The 23,774-nt window shown below is 40.5% G+C and overlaps 2 protein-coding genes across 9 annotated transcripts in view; one reads left to right on the forward strand and one right to left on the reverse strand.

The window, feature by feature from the left end:
- MRAP2 (melanocortin 2 receptor accessory protein 2) overlaps positions 1-23,774 on the forward strand; it is a 113,105-nt gene that overhangs the window by 80,161 nt on the left and 9,170 nt on the right. The window lies entirely within an intron of this gene.
- The window catches only part of CEP162 (centrosomal protein 162), a 103,394-nt gene continuing 90,531 nt past the window's right edge, over positions 10,912-23,774 (reverse strand). For 7 of the 8 annotated variants that reach the window (XM_005248674.5, NM_001286206.2, NM_014895.4 and 4 more), the window contains 2 exons: positions 13,040-13,174; positions 10,912-11,938 (listed from right to left, as the gene is read on the reverse strand). In XM_005248674.5, the coding sequence (XP_005248731.1) occupies positions 11,732-11,938; positions 13,040-13,174 (342 nt within the window). In that variant the 3' untranslated portion in view covers positions 10,912-11,731. Of the gene's footprint in view, positions 11,939-13,039; positions 13,175-13,283; positions 13,432-23,774 lie in introns of those variants that run through there. The other variant, XR_007059227.1, reaches the window with a different exon arrangement.

Genomic DNA, 23,774 nt, shown 5'->3' on the forward strand with positions numbered 1-23,774 from the left:
TGTAATACCCTTCTTTGTCTCATTTGATCTTTGTTTAAAGTCTGTTTTATCAGAGACTAGGATTGCAACCCCTGCTTATTTTGCTTTCCATTTGCCTTGTAAATCTTCCTCCATCCCCTTATTTGGAGCCTATGTGTGTCTCTGCACGTGACATGGGTCTCCTGAATACAGCACACTGATGGGTCTTGACTCTTTATCCAATTTGCCAGTCTGTGTCTTTTAATTGGGGCATTTAGGACATTTACATTTAAGGTTAATATTTTTATGTGTGAATTTGATCCTGTCATTATGATCCTAGCTGGTTATTTTACCCATTAGTTGATGCAGTTTCTTCATAGTGTCAATGGTCTTTACAATTTGTTATGTTTTTGCAGTGGCTGGTACTGGTTGTTCCTTTCCAACTTCAGTGCTTCCTTCAGGAGCTCTAGTAAGGCAGGCCTGGAGGTGACAAAATCTCTCAGCATTTGCTTGTCTGTAAAGGATTTCATTTCTCTTTCACTTTTGAAGCTTAATTTGGCTAGAAATGAAATTCTGGCTTGAAAATTATTTAAGAACATTGAATATTGGCCCCCAGCCTCTTCTGGCTTGTAGGGTTTCTGCCGAGAGATCTGTTAGTCTGATGGGTTTCCCTTTGTGGGTAAGCTGACCTTTCTCTCTTGCTGCCTTTAACATTTTTTTTGTTAATTTCAACCTTGTTGAATCTGACAATTATGTGTCTTGGGGTTGCTCTTCTTGAGTAGTATCTTTGTGGTGTTCTCTGTATTTCCTGAATTTGAATGTTGCCCTGTCTTGCTAGGTTGGGGAAATTCTCCTGGATAATATCCTGAAGAGTGTTTTCCAACTTGGTTCCATTCTCCCCCTCACTTCAGGTACACCAATCAAACATACGTTTGGTCTTTTCACATAGTCCCATATTTCTTGGAGACTTTGTTCATTCCTTTTCATTCTTTTTTCTCTAATCTTGTTTTCAAACTTTATTTCATTGAGTTAATCTTCAATCTCTGATGTCCTTTCTTCCACTTGATCGATTTGACTATTGATATTTGTGTATGCTTCACAAAGTTCTCATGTTGTGTTTTTCAGCTCCATCAGGTCATTGATGTTCTCTAAACTGGTCATTCTAGTTAGGAACTCCTCTAACCTTTTTTCAAGGTTCTTAGCTTCCTTGCATTGGGTTAGAACATGCTCCTTTAGCTCAGAGGAGTTTGTTATTACCCACCTTCTGAAGCCTACTTCTGTCAGTTCGTCAAACTCATTCTCTGTCCAGTTTTGTTCCCTTGCTGGTGAGGAGTTGTGATCCTTTGGAGAAGAGGCATTCTGGTTTTTAGAATTTTCAGCCTTTTTGTGCTGATTTCTCCCCATCTTTGTGGATTTATCTACCTTTGCTCTTTGATGTTGGTGACCTTCGGATGGGGTCTCTGCATGGACGTCCTTTCTGTTGATGTTGATCCCACTCCTTTCTGTTTATTTGTTTTCCTTCTAACAGTCAGGCCCACTGCTGCAGGTCGCTGGAGTTTGTTGGACATCCACTGCAGACCCTGTTTTCCTGGGTATCACCAGCAGAAGCTGCAGAACAGCAAAGATTGCTGCCTGTTCCTTTCTCTGGAAGCTTCGTCCCAGAGGGGCACCCGTCAGATGCCAGCCAGAGCTCTCCTGTATGAGGTGTCTGTTGACCCCTGCTGGGAGGTGTCTCCCAGTCAGGATAAACGGGGGTCAGGGGCCCCTTAAGGAGGCAGTCTGTCTCTTAGCAGAGCTTGAACACTGTGCTGGGAGATCCACAGCTCTCTTCAGAGCTGTCAGGGAGGGACATTTAAGTCTGCTGAAGCTGCACTCATAACTGCCCCTTCCCCCAGGCACTCTGTTCCAGGCAGATGGGTGTTTTATCTATAAGCCCCTGACTGGGGCTACTGCCTTTTTTTCAGAGATGCCCTGCCCAGACAGGAGGAATCTAGAGAGGCAGTCTGGCCACAGTGGCCTTGCTGAGCTGCAGTCGGCTTCACCTAGTTCGAACTTCTCAGCAGCTTTGTTTACACTGTGAGAGTGAAACCTCCTACTCAGGTCTCAGCAATGGTGGACGCCCCTTCACCCACCAAGTTTGAGCGTCCCAGGTTGACCTCAGACTGCTGTGCTGGCAGTGAGAATTTCAAGCCAGTGGAACTTAGCCTGCTGGGCTCCATGGGGGTGGGACCTGCCAAGCCAGACCACTTGGCTCTCTGGCTTCAGCCCCCTTTCTAGGGGAGTGAACGGATCTGTCTCGCTGGTGTTCCGGGCACCACTGGGGTATGGAAAAAAAAACACTCCTGCAGCTAGCTCAGTGTCTGCCCAAATGGCTGCCCAGTTTTGTGCTGGAAACCCAGGGCCCTGATGATGTAGGCACCGCAGGGAATCTCCTGGTCTGCAGGTCGTGAAGACCATGGGAAAAGTACAACATCTGGGCTGGAGTTCACTGTTCCTCATGTCACAGTCCTTCATGGCTTCCCTTGGGTAGGGGAGAGAATTCCCTGACCCTTTGTGCTTCTTGGGTGAGGTGAGGCCCCACCCTGCTTCAGCTTGCCCTCCATGAGCTGCACCCACTGTCCAACCAGTCCCAGTGAGATGAACCAAGTACCTCAGTTGGAAATGCAGAGATCACCCGCCTTCTGCATCGATCTTGCTGGGAGCTGCAGACCAGAGCTGTTTCTATTTGGCCATCTTGATGGGGTTTTCTAGACTTAAGATCATGTCATCTGCAAACAAAAAAGAGTTTGACTTCCTCTCTTCCTATTTAAATACACTTTATTTCTTTCTCTTGCTGACTGCCCTGGCCAGAACTTCCAGTACTATGTTGAATAGGAGTGGTGAGAGAGGGCATCCTTGTTGATATGGTTTGGGTGTGTCCCCACCCAAATCTCATCTTGAATTGTAGCTCCTACAATTCCCATTTGTTGTGTGAGGGACCTGGTGGGAGGTAATTGGATCATAAGGGTGATACTTTCCAGTGCTGTTATCGTGATAGTAAGTCTCATGAGATCTGATGGTTTTATAAGGGGAAATCCCTTTCACTGGACTCTCATTGTGTCTTGCCTGCTGCCATGTAAGACATGCCTTTCACCTTCTGCCATGATTGTAAGGCCTCCCCAGCCACATAGAATTGTGAATCCATTAAACTTCTTTTTCTTCTTAAATTACCCAGTCTCAGGTATGTCTTCATCAGCAGTGTGAGAACAGACTAATACACTTGTCTTATGCCGATTTTCAAGGGGAATGTTTCCAGCTTTTACTCATTCAGTATGATATTGACTTTGGGTTTGTCATTTATGGCTCTTATTATTTTGAGGTATATTCCTTCAATACCTAGTTTTTTGGGTTTTTGACATGAAGCAATGTTAAATTTTATGGAAGGAATTTTCTGCATCTATTGAAATAATCATGTGATTTTTGTGTTCAGTTTTCTTATGTGATGAATCACATTTATTGACTTGTGTATGTTGAACCAGCCTTGCATCCTGGGGATGTAGCCTACTTGATCGTGGTGGATAAGCTTTTTGATGTACTGCTGAATTTGGTTTGCCAGTATTTTTTTGAGAATTTTTGCATCGATGTTCATCAAGGATACTGGCTTGCCGTTTCCTTCCCTTCCCTTCCCTTCTTCCCTTTTCTTCCCTTCTTCCCTTCCCTTTTTTCTTTCTCTTTTTTCTTCTTCTTTCTTTCTATTTTTTTCATGAGATAGAGTCTTGCTCTGTTGCCCAGTCTGGAGTGTAGTGGTGTGATCTCAGCTCACTACAACCTCTGATACCGAGGTTCAAGTGATTCCCCTATCTCAGCTTCCCAAGTAGCTGGTATTACAGGAGAGCACCACCACACCTAGCTAATTTTTGTATTTTTAGTAGAGACAAAGTTTCACCATATTGGCCAGGCTGGTCTTGAACTCCTGAGCACATGTGATCCGTCCACCTTGGCCTCCCAAAGTACTGGGATTACAGGTGTGAACCACCATGCCCAGCCTGAAGTTTCCTTTTTTTATTTTATCTCTGCTGAGTTTTGGTATCAAGATGATGCCAGCTTCATAGAATGAGTTAGGGAGGAGTATCTCCTTTTTGATTTTTTTCTGAATAGTTTCAGTCAGAATAGTACCATCTCTTCTTTGTACCTCTGGTAGAATTCATATGGTCCTGGGCTTTTTTTTTTGGTTGGTAAGCTATTTATTACTACCTCAATTTCAAAATGTGTTATTGTTCTATTCAAGGATTCAATTTCTTTCTGGTTCTCATGTTTGGGGGCTTATCTGTCTTCAGTCTTTGAGGTTGCTGACCTTTGGATGTGGGGTGTGTGTCTGTGTGTGTGTGTGTGTGTGTGTGTGTGTGTGTGGTTGTTGTTGTTGTTCATTTTTAACAGTTTGGCCACTCTCCAGTAGGGCTGCTGCAGTTTGCTGGGGGTCTGCTCCAGATCCTAGTCATCTTGGTTTTTCCAGTACCTGGAGGTATCAGCAGTGAAGGCTGTGAAACAGCAAAGATGGCGGCCTGCCCCTTCCTCTGGAAGCTTCCTCTCAGGGGAATACTGACTTGTTGTTGGGCCGAATGCACCTGTAGGAGGTGGCTGGAGAACCCTATTGGAAGGTTTCACCCAGTTAGGAGGAACGGGATCAGGGACCTTCTTAAATATGCAGTCTAGCTGCATTTTGGTGGAACAGTTGTGCTGTGTTGGGGATCCCTTCATCCCCCAATCGATTTGGGCTCTCCAATGCCTGCAGGCTGGACTGGCTGAGACACCCAAACAGCAAAGGTGGCAGCCAGCCTCCCACACCCAGGCATTTCATTCATCCCAGGGAGAAATTAGAACTCTGCAGGCTGTAGAACATGGGTGGGGGTGGCTGGAGGCCCCAGCTGGGAGGATCAGTCCAGTGAGAAAAAATGGATCTGGATCCTGTTTAAAGCAGCATTCTGGCCGTGCCCACAAAACAGCCATGCTGTGCTGGGAAACCACCTCTGCCCTGGTCTGCTGGGACTCTCCAAAGCCTGCAGGCTGAACAGCGCAGTCGTCCAAACACCAAAGGTGGTGTCCCACCCCTCCCCCAGGGCACTCCATCCCAGGGAGAGATCAGAGCTCTTTCTAGAATACTGGCAGGTGAGGGTGGCTGGAGGCCCTGGCTGGGAGGTCCCGCCCCATGAAGAGGAACAGATGAGTCCTTAAAGAAGCAGTCTGACCACATTCTGGCAATGCAGTTGTGCTGCACTGGGGGAACGCTTCCTCAGACTGTTTGGACTTTCTAAAGCCTGCAGGCTGGAAGGGCTGAGTTGACCAAACAGCTAAGGTGGCAGCCCACCCCTTCCCCTGGGGACTCCATCCCTTCTCAGGCAGGCTCTACCCTGTTGCCAGTGGCTGGCTGGAGTTCCAAGCCAGTGTGTCTTATCTTGTGAGAAGCTGTGGAAGTGGGCCTGCAGACTGACGCTGCTCAGAACCCTGGATTCAGCCCTCTTCCTAGGGCTGGATTTTTAGTTTCAGGTCTTAAATATATTTAAGTCTTTAACCTAAGTTAATTTTTATATAGGTGTGAGATAAGGATCCAATTTCATTCTTCTGCATGTGGATATCTAGTGTTCTTGATGCCACTTATTGAAGAGATTATTTTTCTCCATTGTGTGTTCTTGGTACCTTTATTGAAAGTCAATTATTTGTAAAAGTGTGGGTTTACTTTTGGACACTATATCTGGTCTCACTGGTCAATGTGTCTGCTTTTGTGATAATATACTGTTTTGATTACTGTACTTTTGTAGTATATTTTGATGTCAGGCAGTATGATGCCTTGAGCTTTGCTCTTTTTGCTTATGATTGTTTTAGCTACTGAGGTCTTTTGTGGTTCCATATAACTTTTAGGACTTTTTTTTCTATTTCTGTGAAAAATATTATTGTAATTTTAATAGGAATTTCATTGAATCTACAGATTACATTGGGTAGTCTGGATACTTCAATATTTTTCCAATTTATGAATATGGGATTTCTTCCAATTTGTGTTTTTGTTCAATTTCTTTCACCTAAGTTTTTGTTGTTGTTGTGCAATTATTCAACACTCCCACTTTTAACAGTAGACACCCTGTCAGCCTGGAAGTTTGCTTTAACTCAGCTGACTGCATGATGAGGTCTAGTGTTTATTTTCAGCAATTACAGCCTTGTGCCTCTAGGAGATCAGATTCTCTCTCAGGGCACACTAGAAGCTCTTAAATCATTTATGCATTGCCTGAGCCAGAAATTCAAATCCCTGAGCTCATCCTTTTAAAAATTATGTTGTCCACCAACATTAGGGATAACCAACTGACATAATTATATTCCTTAAGTTTTCCACAAGTTTTGAAAATGTCATACACAGAATCACTAAATTACATGCCTCTTACAAGTGGTTGATCAGGAGTACCCAATCCAGATATTTTGTGTATCACAATAAGCAGTTCATCCCATAGACTATCAGTGTTCCCTGTACTGTTGGAAATAAGACTCCTTAGCACTTGAAGTCCAATCAGATTAGAAAGCAAATTCTAGAAACCCCAAAACCAATTAAAGAAACTCATCCTAAAAGTTCTGTTCCTCTAGCATAACTCCTGGTGCCACAAATCTCTATTAGTCAGGGTTCTTTAGAGATGTAGATAAAGATTTATCATGGGAATTGGTTGACACATGATGGAAGGGCATAAGTCCCATGATATGTAATGTGCAAGCTGGAGAAATGAAAGCCAGAGGTGTAGTGCTGTCCAAGTCCAACAGCCTGAGAACCTGGGGGACACTCGTTTAAGTCCTGGAGTCTGTAGGCTAGATAACTTACAATTCTGATGTCCAAAATCAGAAGAAGGGTGTCTTAGCTCCAGAGAGGGCAAATTTGTCTTTCCTCTGCCTTTTTGTTCTATATAGGCCCTCAACCATTTGGATGGTGCCTGTCCACATTGTGTGAGGATGGATCTTCCTTACTTGGTCTACTGATTCAAATGCCAATCTCTTGATCAACAATTCACAGACATACCCAGAAAGAATGCTTTACTAGCTCTCTGGGTATCTCATAATCTAGTGGAGGTGACATCTAAAATTAACCATCACACTAGGAGAAGATAGATCACTTCTGGAGCTTGAATCTTTATAAAAACAGTGAGATGTATCCATCTTCTGTGTTCTCATCCTGGCCCCTAAGTGCAATGATTAAGGAATAGGATGTGGCTCCTGGGTTTTTAGTTGTAACAAATAGCTTTTAGAGTACTTATGGATCTTTATATATAGAACTGAAGACCTGCCATGTATATAGCTTATTTCAAAATAGAATATAGAATCGTCATCAAAATAGGATATACCTTTCCTGAAAGTAATTATATGATGTTTGCATGTCCCTGTGTTCCAGAACCAGACATTGCTTGCATTTGGAATGAATGGCCCATAGATAGTCAAAAGAACAAAAGAAAGGATGGGTGCAGCTATACATTAATAGGCTTACAGATAAAAATACACAAAACACACTCAATAAAATAAATTATTTATAACTTAAAATTTCTTCTTTTACGTAAAAAATAGCAAACTGTAATACTTTTACTACCCTCTAGGCATGTGGTTACTGAGCACTTGAAATATGGCTAGTCCAAACTGCGATGTGCTGTAACTGTAAAATGTATTTTGAAGATTTAGTATGACAAAATGCAAAAACTCAATTTTTCTATCAATACTGGTAATATTTAGATAGATTATATAAATTCGTTTCACTTGCTTTTTACCTTTTTATTTTTTAATTTTTTTTTTTTTTTTACAGGCAGGGTCTTACTCTGTTCCAGGCTGAAGTGCAGTGGTGCAATCATAGCTCACTGCAGCCTTGAACTCCTGGACTCAAGTGGTCCTTCTACCTCAGCCTCCTGAGTAGCTGGGACTACAGGCACATGTCACCACACCTGGCTAATTAAAAAATATTTTTAAGAGATGGGGGCTTTCCTATACCATGGTGTGGTAACTTCCTATACCATGGTGGAATGAAATTAGAAATCAATACCAAAAGGAACTCTCAAAACTGCACAAGCGTGGCCAGGCATGGTGGCTCACACCTGTAATCCAAGCACTTTGGGAGGCCGAGGTGGGCAGATCACCTGAGGTCAGGAGTTCAAGACCAGCCTGGCCAACATGGTGAAACCCCATCTCTACTAAAAATATAAAATATTAGCTGGGTGTGATGGCGTGCGCCTGTAATCTCAGCTACTTGGAGGCTGAGACAGGAGAATCGCCTGAACCCAGGAGGCGGAGGTTGTAGTGAGCCGAGATTACACCATAGCATTGTGGCCTGGGTGACGGAGTAAGACTCCGTCTCAAAAACAAACAAAAACTGCACAAGTACATAAAAACAAAACAGCTTGCTCCTGAATGACTCCTGGGGAAACAATGAAATTAAGGCAGAAATAAGAAAATTCTTTGAAATAAATGAAAATAGAGACATAACATACCAAAACCTTTGGGATACAGCAAAAGTAATGTTAAGAGGAAAGTTTATAGAATAAATGCCTACACAAAAAGACAGATCTCAAATTAACAACCTAACATCGCACCTCAAGGACCTAGAAAAACAACAAACTGAGTTCAAATCTAGAAGAAGATAAGAAATTACAAAGATCAAAGCAGAACTAAATGAGACCAAAAAATGAGAGAGGATCAATACACAAAAAGTTGGTTCATTGAAAGAGTAAACCAAATTGACAGCTAGATTAACCAATAATGAGTAAATAAATCAAATTGGTAATAAAACATCTTCCAAAACAACAAAAAGCCCAGGATCAGATGGATTCACAGCGAAATTCTACCAGACATACAAAGAGCTAGTATCAATCTTATTGAAACTATTCCAAAAAAACTGAAGAGGAAGGATGCCTCCCAAACTCATTCTATAAATACAGTGTCACCCTGATACCAACAATCAGTGAAGGATACAAGAAAAAAAGAGAACTGCAGGCCAGTCTTCCTGATGAACATAGATGTGAAAATCCTCAGCAAAATACTAGCAAACCAAATCCAACAGCACATCCAAAAAAAAAAAAAAAAAAAAAAAAGCATCATGATCAAGTGGGCTTTATTCTAGGTATGTAAGGAGGATGATTCAACATACAGAAATCAATAAATGTGATTCACCACATAAACAATAGAACAAAAACTACATGATCATCTCAATAGATGCAGAGACAAACACCAGATAAAATCTAATATCCCTTCATGATGAACACCCTCAACAAACTAGGCTTTGAAGGAACATACCTCCAATAATAAAAGCCATATATTACAAACCTACAGCCAACATCATACTGCATGGGTTAAAGTTGAAAGCATTTCCCTAAGAACTGGAAAAAAGACGAGAATGTGCACTCTCACCACGTCTATTCAATACAGTATTGGCAGTCCTAGCCAGAGAAATCAGACAAGAGAAAGAGGTAAAAGACATCCAAATTGGAAAAGACAAAGTCAAATAATCTGTTTTGCTGATGACACGATTGTATACCTAGAAAACCCTAAAGACTCCTCCAGAAGACTCGTAGACTTGACAAGTGAGTTCAGTAAAGTTTCAGGATACAAAATCAATATACAAAACCCAGTGGAATCTCTATACACCAATAACATTCAAGCTGAGAACAAAATTAAGAACTCAATCCCATTTATAATAGCTACACACACACACACGCACACACACAGCACCTAGGAATACATTTAACCAAGGAGGTAAAAAAGAACTACAAAGCACAGAAGAAACTGCAGATGACACAAGCAAACGGAAATACATCCCATGCTTATGAACTGAATAACCAATATGATTGTTTTAAATGACCATATTGCCCAAAGCAATCTACAGATTTGATGTAATTCCTATTAATTACCATCATTTTTTCACAGAACTGGGAAAAACAATCCTAAAATTCATATTGAACGCCCAACTCCAAAAAAAAAAAAAAAGCCTAAATAGCCAAAGCACTCCTAAGCAAAAAGAACAAATACAGAGGCATCACATTGCTTGACTTCAAGGCTATAGTAACTGAAACAGCATGGTAGTGGTATAAAAATACACACAGGTCAATGGAACGGAATAGAGAACTGAGAAATAAAGCCACATACTTACAACTAACTGATCTCTGACAAAGTCAACAAAAATATACACTGGGGAAAGGACACCCTACTCAATAAATGGTGCTGGGAAAACTGATTTGCCTTATACAGAAGAAATAAACTAGACCCTTACCTCTCATCATATACAAAAATTAATGCAAGATGGATTAAAGACCTAAATGTAAGACTTAAAAGTATTAAAATGCTAGAAGAAAACCTAGGAAAAACTCTTCAGAATGTTGGCCTCAGCAAAAAATTCACAATGAAGACCCTAAAAGCAAATGCAACAAAACCAAAAATAGATAAATGGAACTGAATTAAAATTAAAGGCTTCTGCACAGCAAAATAATCAACTAAATAAACAGATAACCTACATAATGGAAAATATATGCAAGTTATTTCTCTGAGATAGGACTAATATTCATCAGGTACAAGGAACTAAAACAATAAGAAAAACCCCAAACAATCCCGTTACAAACTGGGAGAAAAACATGAACAGACATTTGTCAACAGAAATACAACTGACCAACAAACACGTGAAAAAGTGGTCAACGTCACTAATCATTACAGAAGTACAAAAACCACACTGAGATACCATCTTATACCAGTCACAATGGTTATTATTAAAAAGTTGTCAAACAACAGATGATGGTGTCAATGTGTAGAAAAGGGAACATGAATACTCTCTTGGTGGGAATGTAAATTAATTCAGCCTCTATGGAAAGCAGTATAGAGATTTCTCAAAGAACTAAAAATAGAACTACCATTCAACCCAGCAATCTCATTACTGGGAATCTACCCAAAGGAACAGAAATCATTATATAAAAAAGATATCTGTACATGTATGTTTATTGCAGCAATATTTACAATAGCAAATTCATGGAACCAACCTAAGTATCTACCAACAATTGACTGGATAAAGAAAACGTGAGATATATATAGAGAGAGATATATAAATGGAGTATTATGCAACTATAAAAAAGAATGAAATCATGTCATTTGCAGCAACATGGATAGAGCTGGAGGCCATTATCCTATGTGAACTAAATCAGACATAAAAAATAAAATATTGCATATATTCTCACTTAAAAGTAGGAGCTAAACAATGGGTACACAGAGACATAAAGATGGAGATAACAGACACTGGGGACTCCAATAGGGGAAAGAGTGTGAGCGGCAGTAAGCGTTGAAAAATTACCTGTTGGGTACAGTGTTTAATATTTGGATGATGGGTACACTAGAAGCCCAATTCCCACCATTATTCAATACACCCATGTTACAACAAGCACATGTACCCCCTGGATCTAAAATAAAAATTTTAAAAACCTCACATTATCAATAAAAATGTGGCGGAGTATGTTCAATTTTCTTTTCTTTCTATTTCTAGCATACAAGTGAGCCCTTCTCTGCTATAAAGGAAACTGTCCATAAATCACTTAAAATGAGACTGGTTAATGATTTTTAGTAAAATACACCATTATATGTTTTTTTTCTTATTGGTTAAAGGCAATTTATTTTGAAATGTTGCTTTGGTTGTTTGCTTTCTGGAAACATATTGGAACACTTGTTTTTCATAAGCTGTCCTGACAGTGGCACAATCCCATCCATCTTCAGGCCTTTTAATAAGGTCATTATGAAATCTGAATTTCTATTAATACTCTGGTGCATTCATTTCATCTGCAAAAGCAACTGGCACAACCACTCCTTGCCGGTGCAGCTCTCGGAGAACATCTAATATTGAGTCTAGTTCTGTGCGGAACTTCTCCAGCTCACGATTCTTTAACTGTGCCAGTCTTTTCCATTTTTCAACTTCTTTGTTTTGCTCAGTTTCTACTACTTGGTGTGTTTGCTGTATTATCTGCAAATACAAAAATTCCACATTGCTGTTATAGTTCATAGTGGTGGGTGAGGAACATTTAACAATCTTAAAGTAGGCAAACCTGGGGTTTCTTTGGGGAACTCAGGTAAATCATAATGCTCTGCGTGGATGCAACATTTTCTGTCTTCAAGGAGTATATACATCCCAACTGTGTTAGGGACTAAATGTTTGTGTCCCCCTCAAATTCATATGTTGAATTTCCTAACCCTTAATGTGACTGTATGTGGAGTAAGGAAATAATGAATGTTAAATGAGATCATAAGGGTGGGGACTTGATTTGATAAGAACCAGTGTTTCCACCACTAGAGACACCGAAGAGATCATCACCAGAAGAGACACCAAAGTGATCTCTCGCCCCTCTTCCTCTCCTCTGCACACATGGTACTGAGGAAAGATCATGTTAGAATGAGAAAAAAGGTGGCTATCTGCAAGCTGGAAAGAGAGCCCTCACCAGAAACCTAACTGACCAAAACCTCAATCTGGGACTTCTGGCCTACAGAACTGTGAGAAGATAAATTTTTCCTGTTTAGCCACCCAATTTATGATATTTTGTTATGTCAGCCCAAGCAGACTAATACACTGTTCAAACCAAGTTAAATTTCAGCACCAAGGCAAGTGCCTAAAAACACATCATGCCCTTACATCTGCTATTTTTAACTTCTATTAATTTATCTGTTTATAATTAAGTATAGTAATATTACTAGTGCTAGCTATATATTTTAAATAATCATATTAAAACAATTTATTTCTTATAAACATTTGCTGAAATGACTTGAATATGGAACACCATGCCTTGTTCCCAGGGTAAGATGTGTAAGTTTTTAGGAATCCATCAATAATTAAGAACATGATACAAGTTTTTGCTTTTTTTCCAGATATAAGGATACCAATCTTCAAGCACTTGAGATATAAAGTCTCATTTTCTGGTAAAAGTTATAAATTTATTAAATTTTTAACAAGATCAAAATACACTGGAAACACTTTAAGTGGTAATTTTTGCTAGGGATGACAAAACTATAGCAAATTAAAGGCACTTAAAAGTAAAGACCTATATAAATATGTAAATGTGATTTACTTTACCTGTTGAAGTTCCTGTTCTCTTTGTGCATGTCTCATTTCCATCTGCTTAATTTTCTTTTCTAAGCCCACGAAATGTTTCATCTCTGGTGTATGGTTTTCTTTGGCTTCTCTCAATTCTTCTAAGAGTTTTGTAATCTAAAATTGACATATGAAGCAAATGAAAAACTATAATCACAAGAATTTAACAGGTAATCTTGAAAATCAGAATATTTGTATAAAATTTCTCTATATAAGTAAGAGGCACCTTGGATTGTTAGAGTAATTAATAGCTTTCATTCTCTATATCCAGAAAGTAAAGGTTCCTCCTAACTCTGAGTTGACCTCACATTCTAAGAGGTTCCGGATGAATGGACCATCTTCTACCTCCCAAGTATGGCAGTCTGGTAAAGGAGCTGAAAATGAAGTTGGCACTTTCTTTAATGCATTAAGTTTCACTACAAGGTATTGTTAGTAAGATGGTTACTTTCAGAATTTAAAAAAGTACATTTAAAGCACTCAACATAGTACAGTGCCCCATGCACAGAAAGAGTTCAATGAATATGTATTTTTCTTCTGTTAACTCCCTATAATTCTATTTGTAATTCTCTATGGCCCTTATCACTTTATAATTTGTAGTAGTTCATTCCACAAATAAATGTATACATATAAAGTAGAAATAATGAAGTACTGAGCCCTTTCTGTGTTGACTGCTGTCTTAGGACCTGGGGATCCAGAGATTAAAGACACAGACCCCATCCTCACAGAGTGTAGTGCAGTGCCTTCATATTGAGCTTGGGAAAACAATTAATTGTATCTTCTTTATCCCATATAATCATGAAAAGAAATTCCAACAAGAATCAGATTTTGCTAATTGTTTACATCAAAAGGCAACAAAAACCAAATGAAAATGGATAGAACTAACAATAACTCTTGTTTTCTATGAAAACACCTATTAATAACAATAATACTAATACTAAAAAATCCCAGTATCTTACCTACATTAGTTGAAAAACATGCAAAGATACAAGCAAATTAAATCAGAGGCAATCTATTTTAAATGTGGAGCATCCCTGATGATATCATCATTGAACAAAGAACTATACAGACTATAATTGGGATGGTTTGCAGAGAGCTCAGGGAGAGGCCTCACAGAACATGCTGTGGTGATGAGTGTTGGTTGGGCATAAAAACTGTATGTGTTAAAATAATGATTATTAAAATTATTTTTTAAAAAACTAATGACTAAACTAAGAAAGCTGATAAAGGCATAGTCATACACAGAATGGTCAATTATTATTTCAATTCCTGTAACCTTTTTAATGGTTGAAAAATGATTTTGAGTAATATTTCCAGCTGTTACTATCTTGTGATACACCTGTTCCTGGTACACCAGTTAGGAAGCTCTGGTTTTCTGAATGAAACAGTCAAGTGAATGAGAATTCTAATATTGTGTGCTATGATAAAGGGATGGCCAATGACTAGTGAGATAAGTGAGAACACCTGACTGGAAGAGAAGAAGGGCCACAGAGAATTCCTAAGGTGGCTGTGTTTGAATTGAGTCTTAAAGGGTAAGTAGTAGTCAGTCATTATATTATGATGTGCTAGGCATTAGGCTGAGCACTTTACAGATGTCTCATTTTTTTATTAAGCCTTATATATGTTTACTGTCTGACTCCTCACATAAAATGTAAGCTTCATAAGAGCAAAGATTTTTGTCTTTGTTCACCTCACTATTCCTAGCACCCAGCGCTGCCCATGGCAGAGAGGTAGGTGTTTAACAATTATTCATGAATTAATTAGTCCATTCACCTTTCAATGATTAAACATTCATTGGTAAATCACATAAACTTAGAAATCTGGTTTTAGACAAATAGAGAAAATTTCCTTTTAATTGCACCTACCTAAAAGAACCTTTAAGAATATAATCAAAACTGAATATGTACATATATTTTAAAAATCCTTGCATTTTAATGAATTATCCTCTAGAGATAACTGAATACTTAATAAGCAAACATGTATTTAAAAAATACTTCCTGCTATGTACACATTATTTAAAAAAACTGGAAACAACCTGCATGCCAACAATAGGGGATTTGTGAAATAAATTAGTAATGATTAATAAGAGCCTGAGACCTAGAGTCAGAGGCAATGGGTTCTAACGGTGGCACTTCTATATGGTGGTCGGTAAGCCACCATATAGAAGTTATTTCACTTTCCTTAGCATCAATATCTTCATCTAAAATGGGAATAATAGTAGTAACTACTCTTTTGGTTGTGATGAGAATCAAATAAAATAAGGTATATAAAACACTTTGCACAGTTCCTAGTAAACATTAAACTTTTTTTTTTAAGTTATACTTTGTTCTGGGGTACATGTGCAGAACGTGCAGGTTTGTTACATAGGTATACACGTGCCATGATGGTTTGCTGCACCCATCAACCCGTCATCTACATTAGGTATTTCTCCTAATGCTATCCCTCCCCTAACCCCCAACCCCCCGACAGGCCCCGGTGTGTGATGTTCCCCTCCTATGTCACTGTGTTCTCATTGTTCAACTTCCACTTATGAGTGAGAACATGCGGTGTTTGGTTTTCTGTTCTTGCCTTAGTTTGCTGAGAATGATGGTTTCCAGCTTCATCCATGTTCCTGCAAAGGACATGACCTCATTCTTTTTTATGACTACATAGTATTCCATGGTGTATATGTGCCACATTGTCTTTATCCAATCTATCATTGATGGGCATTTGGGTTGGTTCCAAGTCTTTGCTATTGTGAATAGTGCCACAATAAACATATGTGTGCATGTGTCTTAATAGTAGAATGATTTATAATCCTTTGGGTATATACCCAGTAATGGGATGGCTGGGTCAAATGGTATTTCTAGTTCTAGATCCTTGAGGAGTCGCCACACTGTCTCCCACAGTGGTTGAACTAATTTACACTCCCACCAACAGTGTAAAAGCATTCCTATTTCTCCGCATCCTCTCCAGCATCTGTTTCCTGACTTTTTAATGATCGCCATTCTAACTGGCATGAGATGGTATCTCATTGTGGTTTTGATTTGCATTTCTCTAATGACCAGCGATGAGCTTTTTTTCATATGTTTGTTGACTGCATAAATGTCTTCTTTTGAAAAGTGTCTGTCCATATCCTTTGCCCACTTTTTGATGGGGATGTTTTTTTTCTTGTAAATTTGTTTAAGTTCTTTATAGATTCTGGATATTAGCCCTTTGTCAGATGGATAGATTGCAAAAATTTTCTGCCATTCTGTAGGGTGCCTGTTCACTCCGGTTTTTGCTGTGCAGAAGCTGTTTAATTAGATCCCATTTGTCAATTTTGGCTTTTGTTGCCACTGCTTTTGGTGTTTTAGTCATGAAGACTTTGCCCATATTGATTTTGGACTGAGATGATGGGGTTTTCTAAATATACAATTGTGTCATCTGCAAACAGACACACTTTGACTTCCTCTCTTCCTATGTGACTACCCTTTATTTCTTTTTCTTGCCTGATTGTTCTGGCCAGAACTTCCATTACTAAGTTGAATTGAATAGGAGTGGTGAGAGAGGGCATCCTTGTCCTGTGCTGGTCTTCAAAGGGAATGCTTCCAGTTTTTGCCCATTCAGCATGATATTGGCTGTGGGTTTGTCATAAATAGCTATTATTTTGTGATACGTTCCATCAATACCTAGTTTGTTGAGAGTTTTTAGCATGAACGGCTGTTGAATTTTGTCGAAGGCCTCTTCTGCATCTATAGAGATAATCATATGGTTTTTGTCCTTGGTTTTATGTGATGGATTATGTTTATTGATTTGCGTATGGTGAACCAGACTTGCATCTCAGGGATGAAGCTGACTTGATCATGGTGGATAAGCTTTTTGATGTGCTGCTGGATTTGGATTGCCAGTATTTTATTGAGGATTTTTGCATTGATGTTCATCAGGGATACTGGCCTGAAATTTTCTTTTTTTGTTGTGTTTCTGCCAGGTTTTGGTATCAGGATGATGCTGGCCTCATAAAATGAGTTAGGGAGGAGTCCCTCTTTTTCTATTGTGTGGAATAGTTTCAGAAGGATTGGTACCAGCTCCTCTCTGTACCTCTGGTAGAATTCGGCTGTGCACCCATCCAGTCCTGGACTTTTTTTGGTTGGTAGGCTATTAATTACTCCCTCAATTTCAGAACTTGTTATTGGTCTATTCAGGGATTCGACTTCTTCCTCGTTTAGACTTGGGAGGGTGTATGTGTCCAGGAATTTTTCCATTTCTTCTAGATTTTCTAGTTTATTTGCATAGAGGTGTTTATAGTATTCTCTCATGGTAGTGTGTATTTCTGTGGGATCGGTGGTGATATCCCCTTTATCATTTTTTATTGCGTCTATTTGATTCTTCTCTCTTCTCTTCTTTATTAATTTGGCTAGTGGTCTATTTTGTTGATCTTTTCAAAAAACCAGCTCCTGAATTCACTGATTTTTTTTGAAAGGTTTCTTGTGTCTCTATCTCCTTTAGCTCTGCTCTGATCTTAGTTATTTCTTGTCTTCTGCTAGCTTTTGAATTTGTTTGCTCTTGCTTCTCTAGTTCTATTAATTGTGATGTTAGGGTGTTGATTTTAGATCTTTCCTGCTTTCTCTTGTGGGCATTTAGTGCTATAAATTTCCCTCTACACACTGCTTTAAATGTGTCCCAGAGATTCTGGTACGTCATGTCTTTGTTCTCACTGGTTTCAAAGAGCTTATTTATTTCTGCCTTCATTTCATTATTTATCCAGTAGTCCTTCAGGAGCAGTGGTTCAGTTTCCATGTAGTTGTGCAGTTTTGAGTGAGTTTTTTAATCCTGAGTTCCAATTTGACTGCACTGTGGTCTGAGAGACTGTTTGTTATGATTTCCATTCTTTTGCATTTGCTGAGGAGTGTTTTACTTCCAATTATGTGGTCAATTTTAAAATAAGTGTGATGTGCTGAGAAGAATTCTGTTGATTTGGGGTGGAGAGTTCTGTAGATGTTTATTAGGTCTGCTTGGTGCAGAGCTGAGTTCAAGTCCTGAATATCCTTGTTAACTTTCTGTCTCGTTGATCTGTCTAATGTTGACAGTGGGGTGTTAAAGTCTTCCATTATTATTGTGTGGGAGTCTAGGTCTCTTTGTAGGTCTCTAAGGACTTGCTTTATGAATCTGGGTGCTCCTGCATTGGGTGCATATATATTTAGGATAGTTAGCTCTTCTTGTTGAATTGATCCCTTTACCATTATGGCCTTGTCTCTTTTGATCTTTGTTGGTTTAAAGTCTTTTTTATCAGAGACTAGGATTGCAACCGCTGCTTTTTTTTTGTTTTGTTTTCCATTTGCTTGGTAGATCTTCCTCCATCCCTTTATCTTGAGCCTATGTGTGTCTCCACATGAGATGGGTCTCCTGAATACAGCACACTGATGGGTTTTGACTCTTTATCCAGTTTGCCAGTCTGTGTCTTTTAATTGGAGCATTTAGCCTATTTACATTTAAGGTTAATATTGTTATGTGTGAATTTGATCCTGTCATTGTGATGTTAGCTGGTTATTTTGCTCATTAGTTGGTGCAGTTTCTTCCTAGCACTGATGGTCTTTACAATTTGGCATGTTTTAGCAGTGGCTGGTACCAGTCGTTCCTTTCCACGTTTAGTGCTTCCTTCAGGAGCTCTTGTAAGGCATGCCTGGTGGTGACAAAATCTCTCAGCACTTGCTTGTCTGTAAAGGATTTTATTTCTCCTTCACTTACGAAGCTTAGTTTGGCTGGATATGAAATTCTGGGTTGAAAATTCTTTTCTTGAAGAATGTTGAATGTTGGCCCCCACTCTCTTCTGGCTTGTAGAGTTTCTGCTGAGAGATCTGCTGTTAGTCTGATGGGCTTCCCTTTGTGGGTAAGCTGACCTTTCATTCTGGCTGCCTTTAACATTTTTTTCCTTCATTTCAACTTTGGAGAATCTGATAATTATGTGTCTTGGAGTTGCTCTTCTTGAGGAGTATCTTTGTGGTGTTCTCTGTATTTCCTGAATTTGAATGTTGTTCTGCCTTGCTAGGCTGGGGAAGTTCTCCTGCATAATATCCTGAAGAGTGTTTTCCAACTTGGTTCCATTCTCCCCGTCACTTTCAGGTACACCAATCAGACATAGATTTGGTCTTTTCACATAGTCCCATATTTCTTGGAGGCTTTGTTCATTTCTTTTTACTCTTTTTTCTCTAAACTTCTCTTCTCACTTCATTTCATTCATTTGATCTTCAATCACTGATACCCTTTCTTCCACTTGATCGAATTGGCTACTGAAGCTTGTGCATACATCACATAGTTCTCGTGCCATGGTTTTCAGCTCCATCAGGTGATTTAAGGTCTTCTCTATGCTGTTTATTTTAGCTAGCCATTCGTCTACTCTTTTTTCAAGGTTTTTAGCTCCTTTGCGATGGTTTCAAACATCCTCCTTTACCTCGGAGAAGTTTGTTATTACTGATCTTCTGAGGCCTACTTCTGTCAACTCGTCAAAGTCATTCTTGGTCCAGCTTTATTCCAAAGGAACACAGCTGGCAAGGAGCTGTGTTCCTTTGGAGGAGAAGAGGCACTCTGATTTTTGGAATTTTCAGCTTTTCTGCTCTGTTTTCTCCCCATCTTTGTGGTTTTATCTACCTTTGGTCTTTGATGATGGTGACCTAGATATGTGGTTTTGGTGTGTATGTCCTTTATGTTTGTTAGTTTTCCTTCTAACCGTCAGGACCCTCAGCTGCAGGTCTGTTGGGAGTTTGCTTGAGGTCCACTCCAGACACTGTTTGCCTGGGTATCACCAGCAGAGGCTGCAGAACAGCAAATATTGCAGAACAGCAAATGTTGCTGCCTGATCCTTCCTCTGGGAGCTTTGTCTCAGAGGGGCACCCGGCTGTATGAGGTGTCAGTTGGCCCCTATTGGGAGGTGTCTCCCAGTTAGGCTACTCAAGTGTCAGGGACCCACTTGAGGAGGCAGTCTGTCTGTTCTCAGATCTCAAACTCCATGCTGGGAGAACCACTACTCTCTTCAAAGCTGTCAGATAGGGACGTTTAAGTCTGCAGAAGTTTCTGCTGCCTTTTGTTTGGCTATGCCCTGCCCCCAGAGGTGGAGTCTATAGAGGCAGGCAGGCTGGCCTCCTTGAGTTGCGGTGGGCTCCACCCAGTTTGAGCTTCCTGGCCACTTTGTTTACCTACTCAAGCCTCAGCAACGGCGGATGCCCCTCCCCCAGCCTTGCTGCTGCCTTGCAGTTCAATCTCGGACTGCTGTGCTAGCAGTGAGCAAGGCTCTGTGGGCATTGGACCCTCTGAGCCATGCGCGGGATATAATGTCCTGGTGTGCTGTTTGCTAAGACCATTGGAAAAGCACAGTATTAGGGTGGGAGTGTCCCGATTTTCCAGGTACCGTCTATCACAGCTTCCCTTGGCTAGGAAAGGGAATTCCCAGACCCCTTGCGCTTCCTGGGTGAGGTGATGCCCTGCCCTGCTTCGGCTCACACTCCTTGGGCTGTACCCACTGTCCAACAAGCCCCAGTGAGATGAACCTGGTACCTCAGTTGGAAGTTCAGAAATCACCCATCTTATGAGTCGCTCATGCTAGGAGCTGTAGACTGGAGCTGTTCCTCTTTGGCCATCTTGCATTTCAGATGGGGGTTTTTTCTATAAGACCCTGACTGGGGCTGCTGCCTTTAAGAGATGCCCTGCCCAGAGAGGAGGAATCTAGAGAGGCATTCCGGCTATGGCGGCTTTGCCAAGCTGCAGTGGGCTCTGCCCAGTTCGAACTTCCTGTAGGCTTTGTTTATGCTATGAGGGGAAAACTGCTTACTCAAGCCTCAGTAATGGTGGATGCCACTCCCCCCACCAAGCTTGAGCATCCCAGGTCACTTCAGACAGCTATGCTGGCAGTGAGAATTTCAAGCCAGTGGATCTTAGCTTGCTGGGCTCTGTGGGGGTGGGAATCTGCTGAGCTAGTCCACTTGGCTCCCTGGCTTCAACCCTCTTTCCAGGGGTGTCTTGCTGGCATTCCAGGCGCCACTGTGGTATGAAAAAAAACTCCTGCAGCTAGCTCAGTGTCTGCCCAAACGGCCGCCCAGTTTTGTGCTTGAAACCCAGGGCCCTGGTGGCGTAGGCACCCAAGTGAATCTTCTGGTGTGTGCATTGCGAAGACCTTGGGAAAAGCATAGTAACTGGGCTGGAGTGCACCGTTCCTCATGGCACAGTCCCTCACGGCTTCCCTTGGCTAGGGGAGGGAGTTCCCCGACCCCTTGCACTTCCCGGATGAGGCAAGGCCCCACCCTGCCTTGGCTCACCCTCTGTGGGTTGCACCCACTGTCTAACCAGTTCCAATGAGATGAGCCAGGTACCTCAGTTGGAAATGTAGAAATCACTTTCCTTCTGTGTTGATCTCACTGAGACCTGTAGAATACAGCTGTTCCTATTTGACCATCTTGCCAGCCTCCCCCCCACAGATTAAACTTTTGATAAATAATTATATTATAATGCCTCTATTTTGAAATGGTATAATAGAAGTGCCAATAAAGATATATACTGTCATGAAAAGATCATATATACACACACACACACACACACACACACACACACACACATATATAGTGTTAGGTTAAAAATGCTTTGAAAATCATATGCATGCATACATACATACATGAACAAACATGTATTTGCATATGTACACACATGAGAACCATATCCACAATATTTGTATTTATTTATGAATAGAAAAAAATCTGGAAGGATATAGAGCAAAATATAACTAGGTAGTGGGATTATAGTGATTTTATACCTTCTAATTGCTAATACTAATTATTATGTATTAATAGTATAAAAACACATGCATAGTGAATCCATGCTCAACTAAGGACAGAAATAGCATCAATAAAAAGCATAAAAGCATATATTCTTTAATGAATAAAACTGTTATCTTTTTATTACTTTACTAAAGTAAAAAAGAGTGATTCACCCAGATGATGTCACTTAAAGGTGAGTGAAGATGCTTTCTTACTGGAGAAGACAGATATCACTGACTGCTGGCAGGAGGTGGCTCAGGTGCTGGAGTTCAAACAATCTGTGCGTAGCCCAGAGACAGACTGCTTCCCAGAGAAGACATTTGTCTTTGTTCTCTTACTTGTTGGTGAGTAATCTTAGAAACTACACATCTCAATTTAAACTGAACCACAAAATTATTCCTATTTTTATTACTTTAAACAAGCCTGGGCTGGTCGTGGTGGCTCACGCCTGTAATCCCAGCTCTTTGGGAGGCTGAGACGGGTGAATCACTTGAGGTCAGGGGTTCCAGACCAGCCTGGCCGACATGGTGAAACTCCATCTCTACTAAAAACACAAAAATTAGCCGGGTGTGATGGCACAATCCTGTAATCCCAGCTACTCAGGAAGCTGAGACATAAGAATCACTTGAATGAGGGAGGCAGAGGTTGCTGTGAGCCGAGATTGTGCCACTGCACTCCAGCCTGGGCGACAACAGTAAGACTGTCTCAAAAAAACAACAAAAAAATGAGCCTGGTACACTGTATCTGTGTACTTTTCAATCATGTCATGTGCCTTCGTGCTTTGTAACTATTGGCATAAGTCTTCCTGGTCACTTTGCTAGAGGAATTGTGAGTACTTACTTAATCTAGAGGGTTTAGATTCTAATTAGGTTAGCACTGAAGGAGATCCTGGGCACTGTGTCTTAAGCAGCCATTCCTGCTTTCTTTGCTGACAAGGCCTTGATATTGTTCAGGTGTTCATGTGATGCTGGGGTAAATTCTGATCAGTTTTACTGTCAGTTTACTGGATAACTACTGGACAAAAACAACTGATCAGTTATAGCTGTCCAGTTTTTCTTGGCAGTGATTGGTTTAGAGGTGGGCACATGTCTTAGTCTGTTTTCTGCTGGTATAACCAAATACCACAGACATTTATTTGGCTTACAGTTCGGCATCTGGACAGTCCAAATGCATGGCACTGGCATCTGGGAAGGGCCTTTTGCTGCATTAACCCATGACAGAAGGGCAGGCAGGTGATGAGACAGAGAGGGAATGAGAACCACTGAACTTATTCTTCTATCATGAGCCCACTCCTGTGATAACTAACCCATTCCTGCTTGAACATCAACTAAATTTAAACATAAGTTTTGGCAGGGATATTCAAACCGCAGCAGCATGTGACACAGTTCTGAAGCAAAGGCAGTTAGTGGGAGACATTATAGGCTATATGTATCTGTTTGATTATTTTTCTGTCCCACTGGTTAGAATGTTCCTTGACAGCAAGGACTCCAGATGTTTCACTGCTATATCTTAAGAAGCAAATAACAGGGACTGACATCTGCTCACTAAGTATTTATTAAATCAATGAAAAAAAATGCTATGAAGGTCTTATTTAACTTGATAGCTGTAAAAACTGAGGCTGAGAGAGTTTAAAGACACTAGAAGTGGCTATGTACAGATAACTTTTTTCTTCTGCATGAGAAACTGACCTTGGGTTCAATCACTTTTCTGTGTCTGTTCTCCCCTTGATAAAGAATGGCCATCGGCCACACACCAGGCACCTAGGCTTGGGGGACTTTGTATGAACTGAAATACTTCATAGGAAGACAGTTTTGGGCTCTCCTGACCATGCTGACTCTTGTAACTGAGCATGTTGTTGTGGGAGCCACCGTGCAAGGATTAGTATAAGAGATATCGGTTCTTGTGGAGCATGCGGCATCTAAACTAGCAAGGGAATAAGAGTCATACCTGGCAGGTGG

This window comes from Homo sapiens, chromosome 6, assembly GCF_000001405.40.
Source record: "Homo sapiens chromosome 6, GRCh38.p14 Primary Assembly".
Classification (NCBI taxonomy): domain Eukaryota; kingdom Metazoa; phylum Chordata; class Mammalia; order Primates; family Hominidae; genus Homo; species Homo sapiens.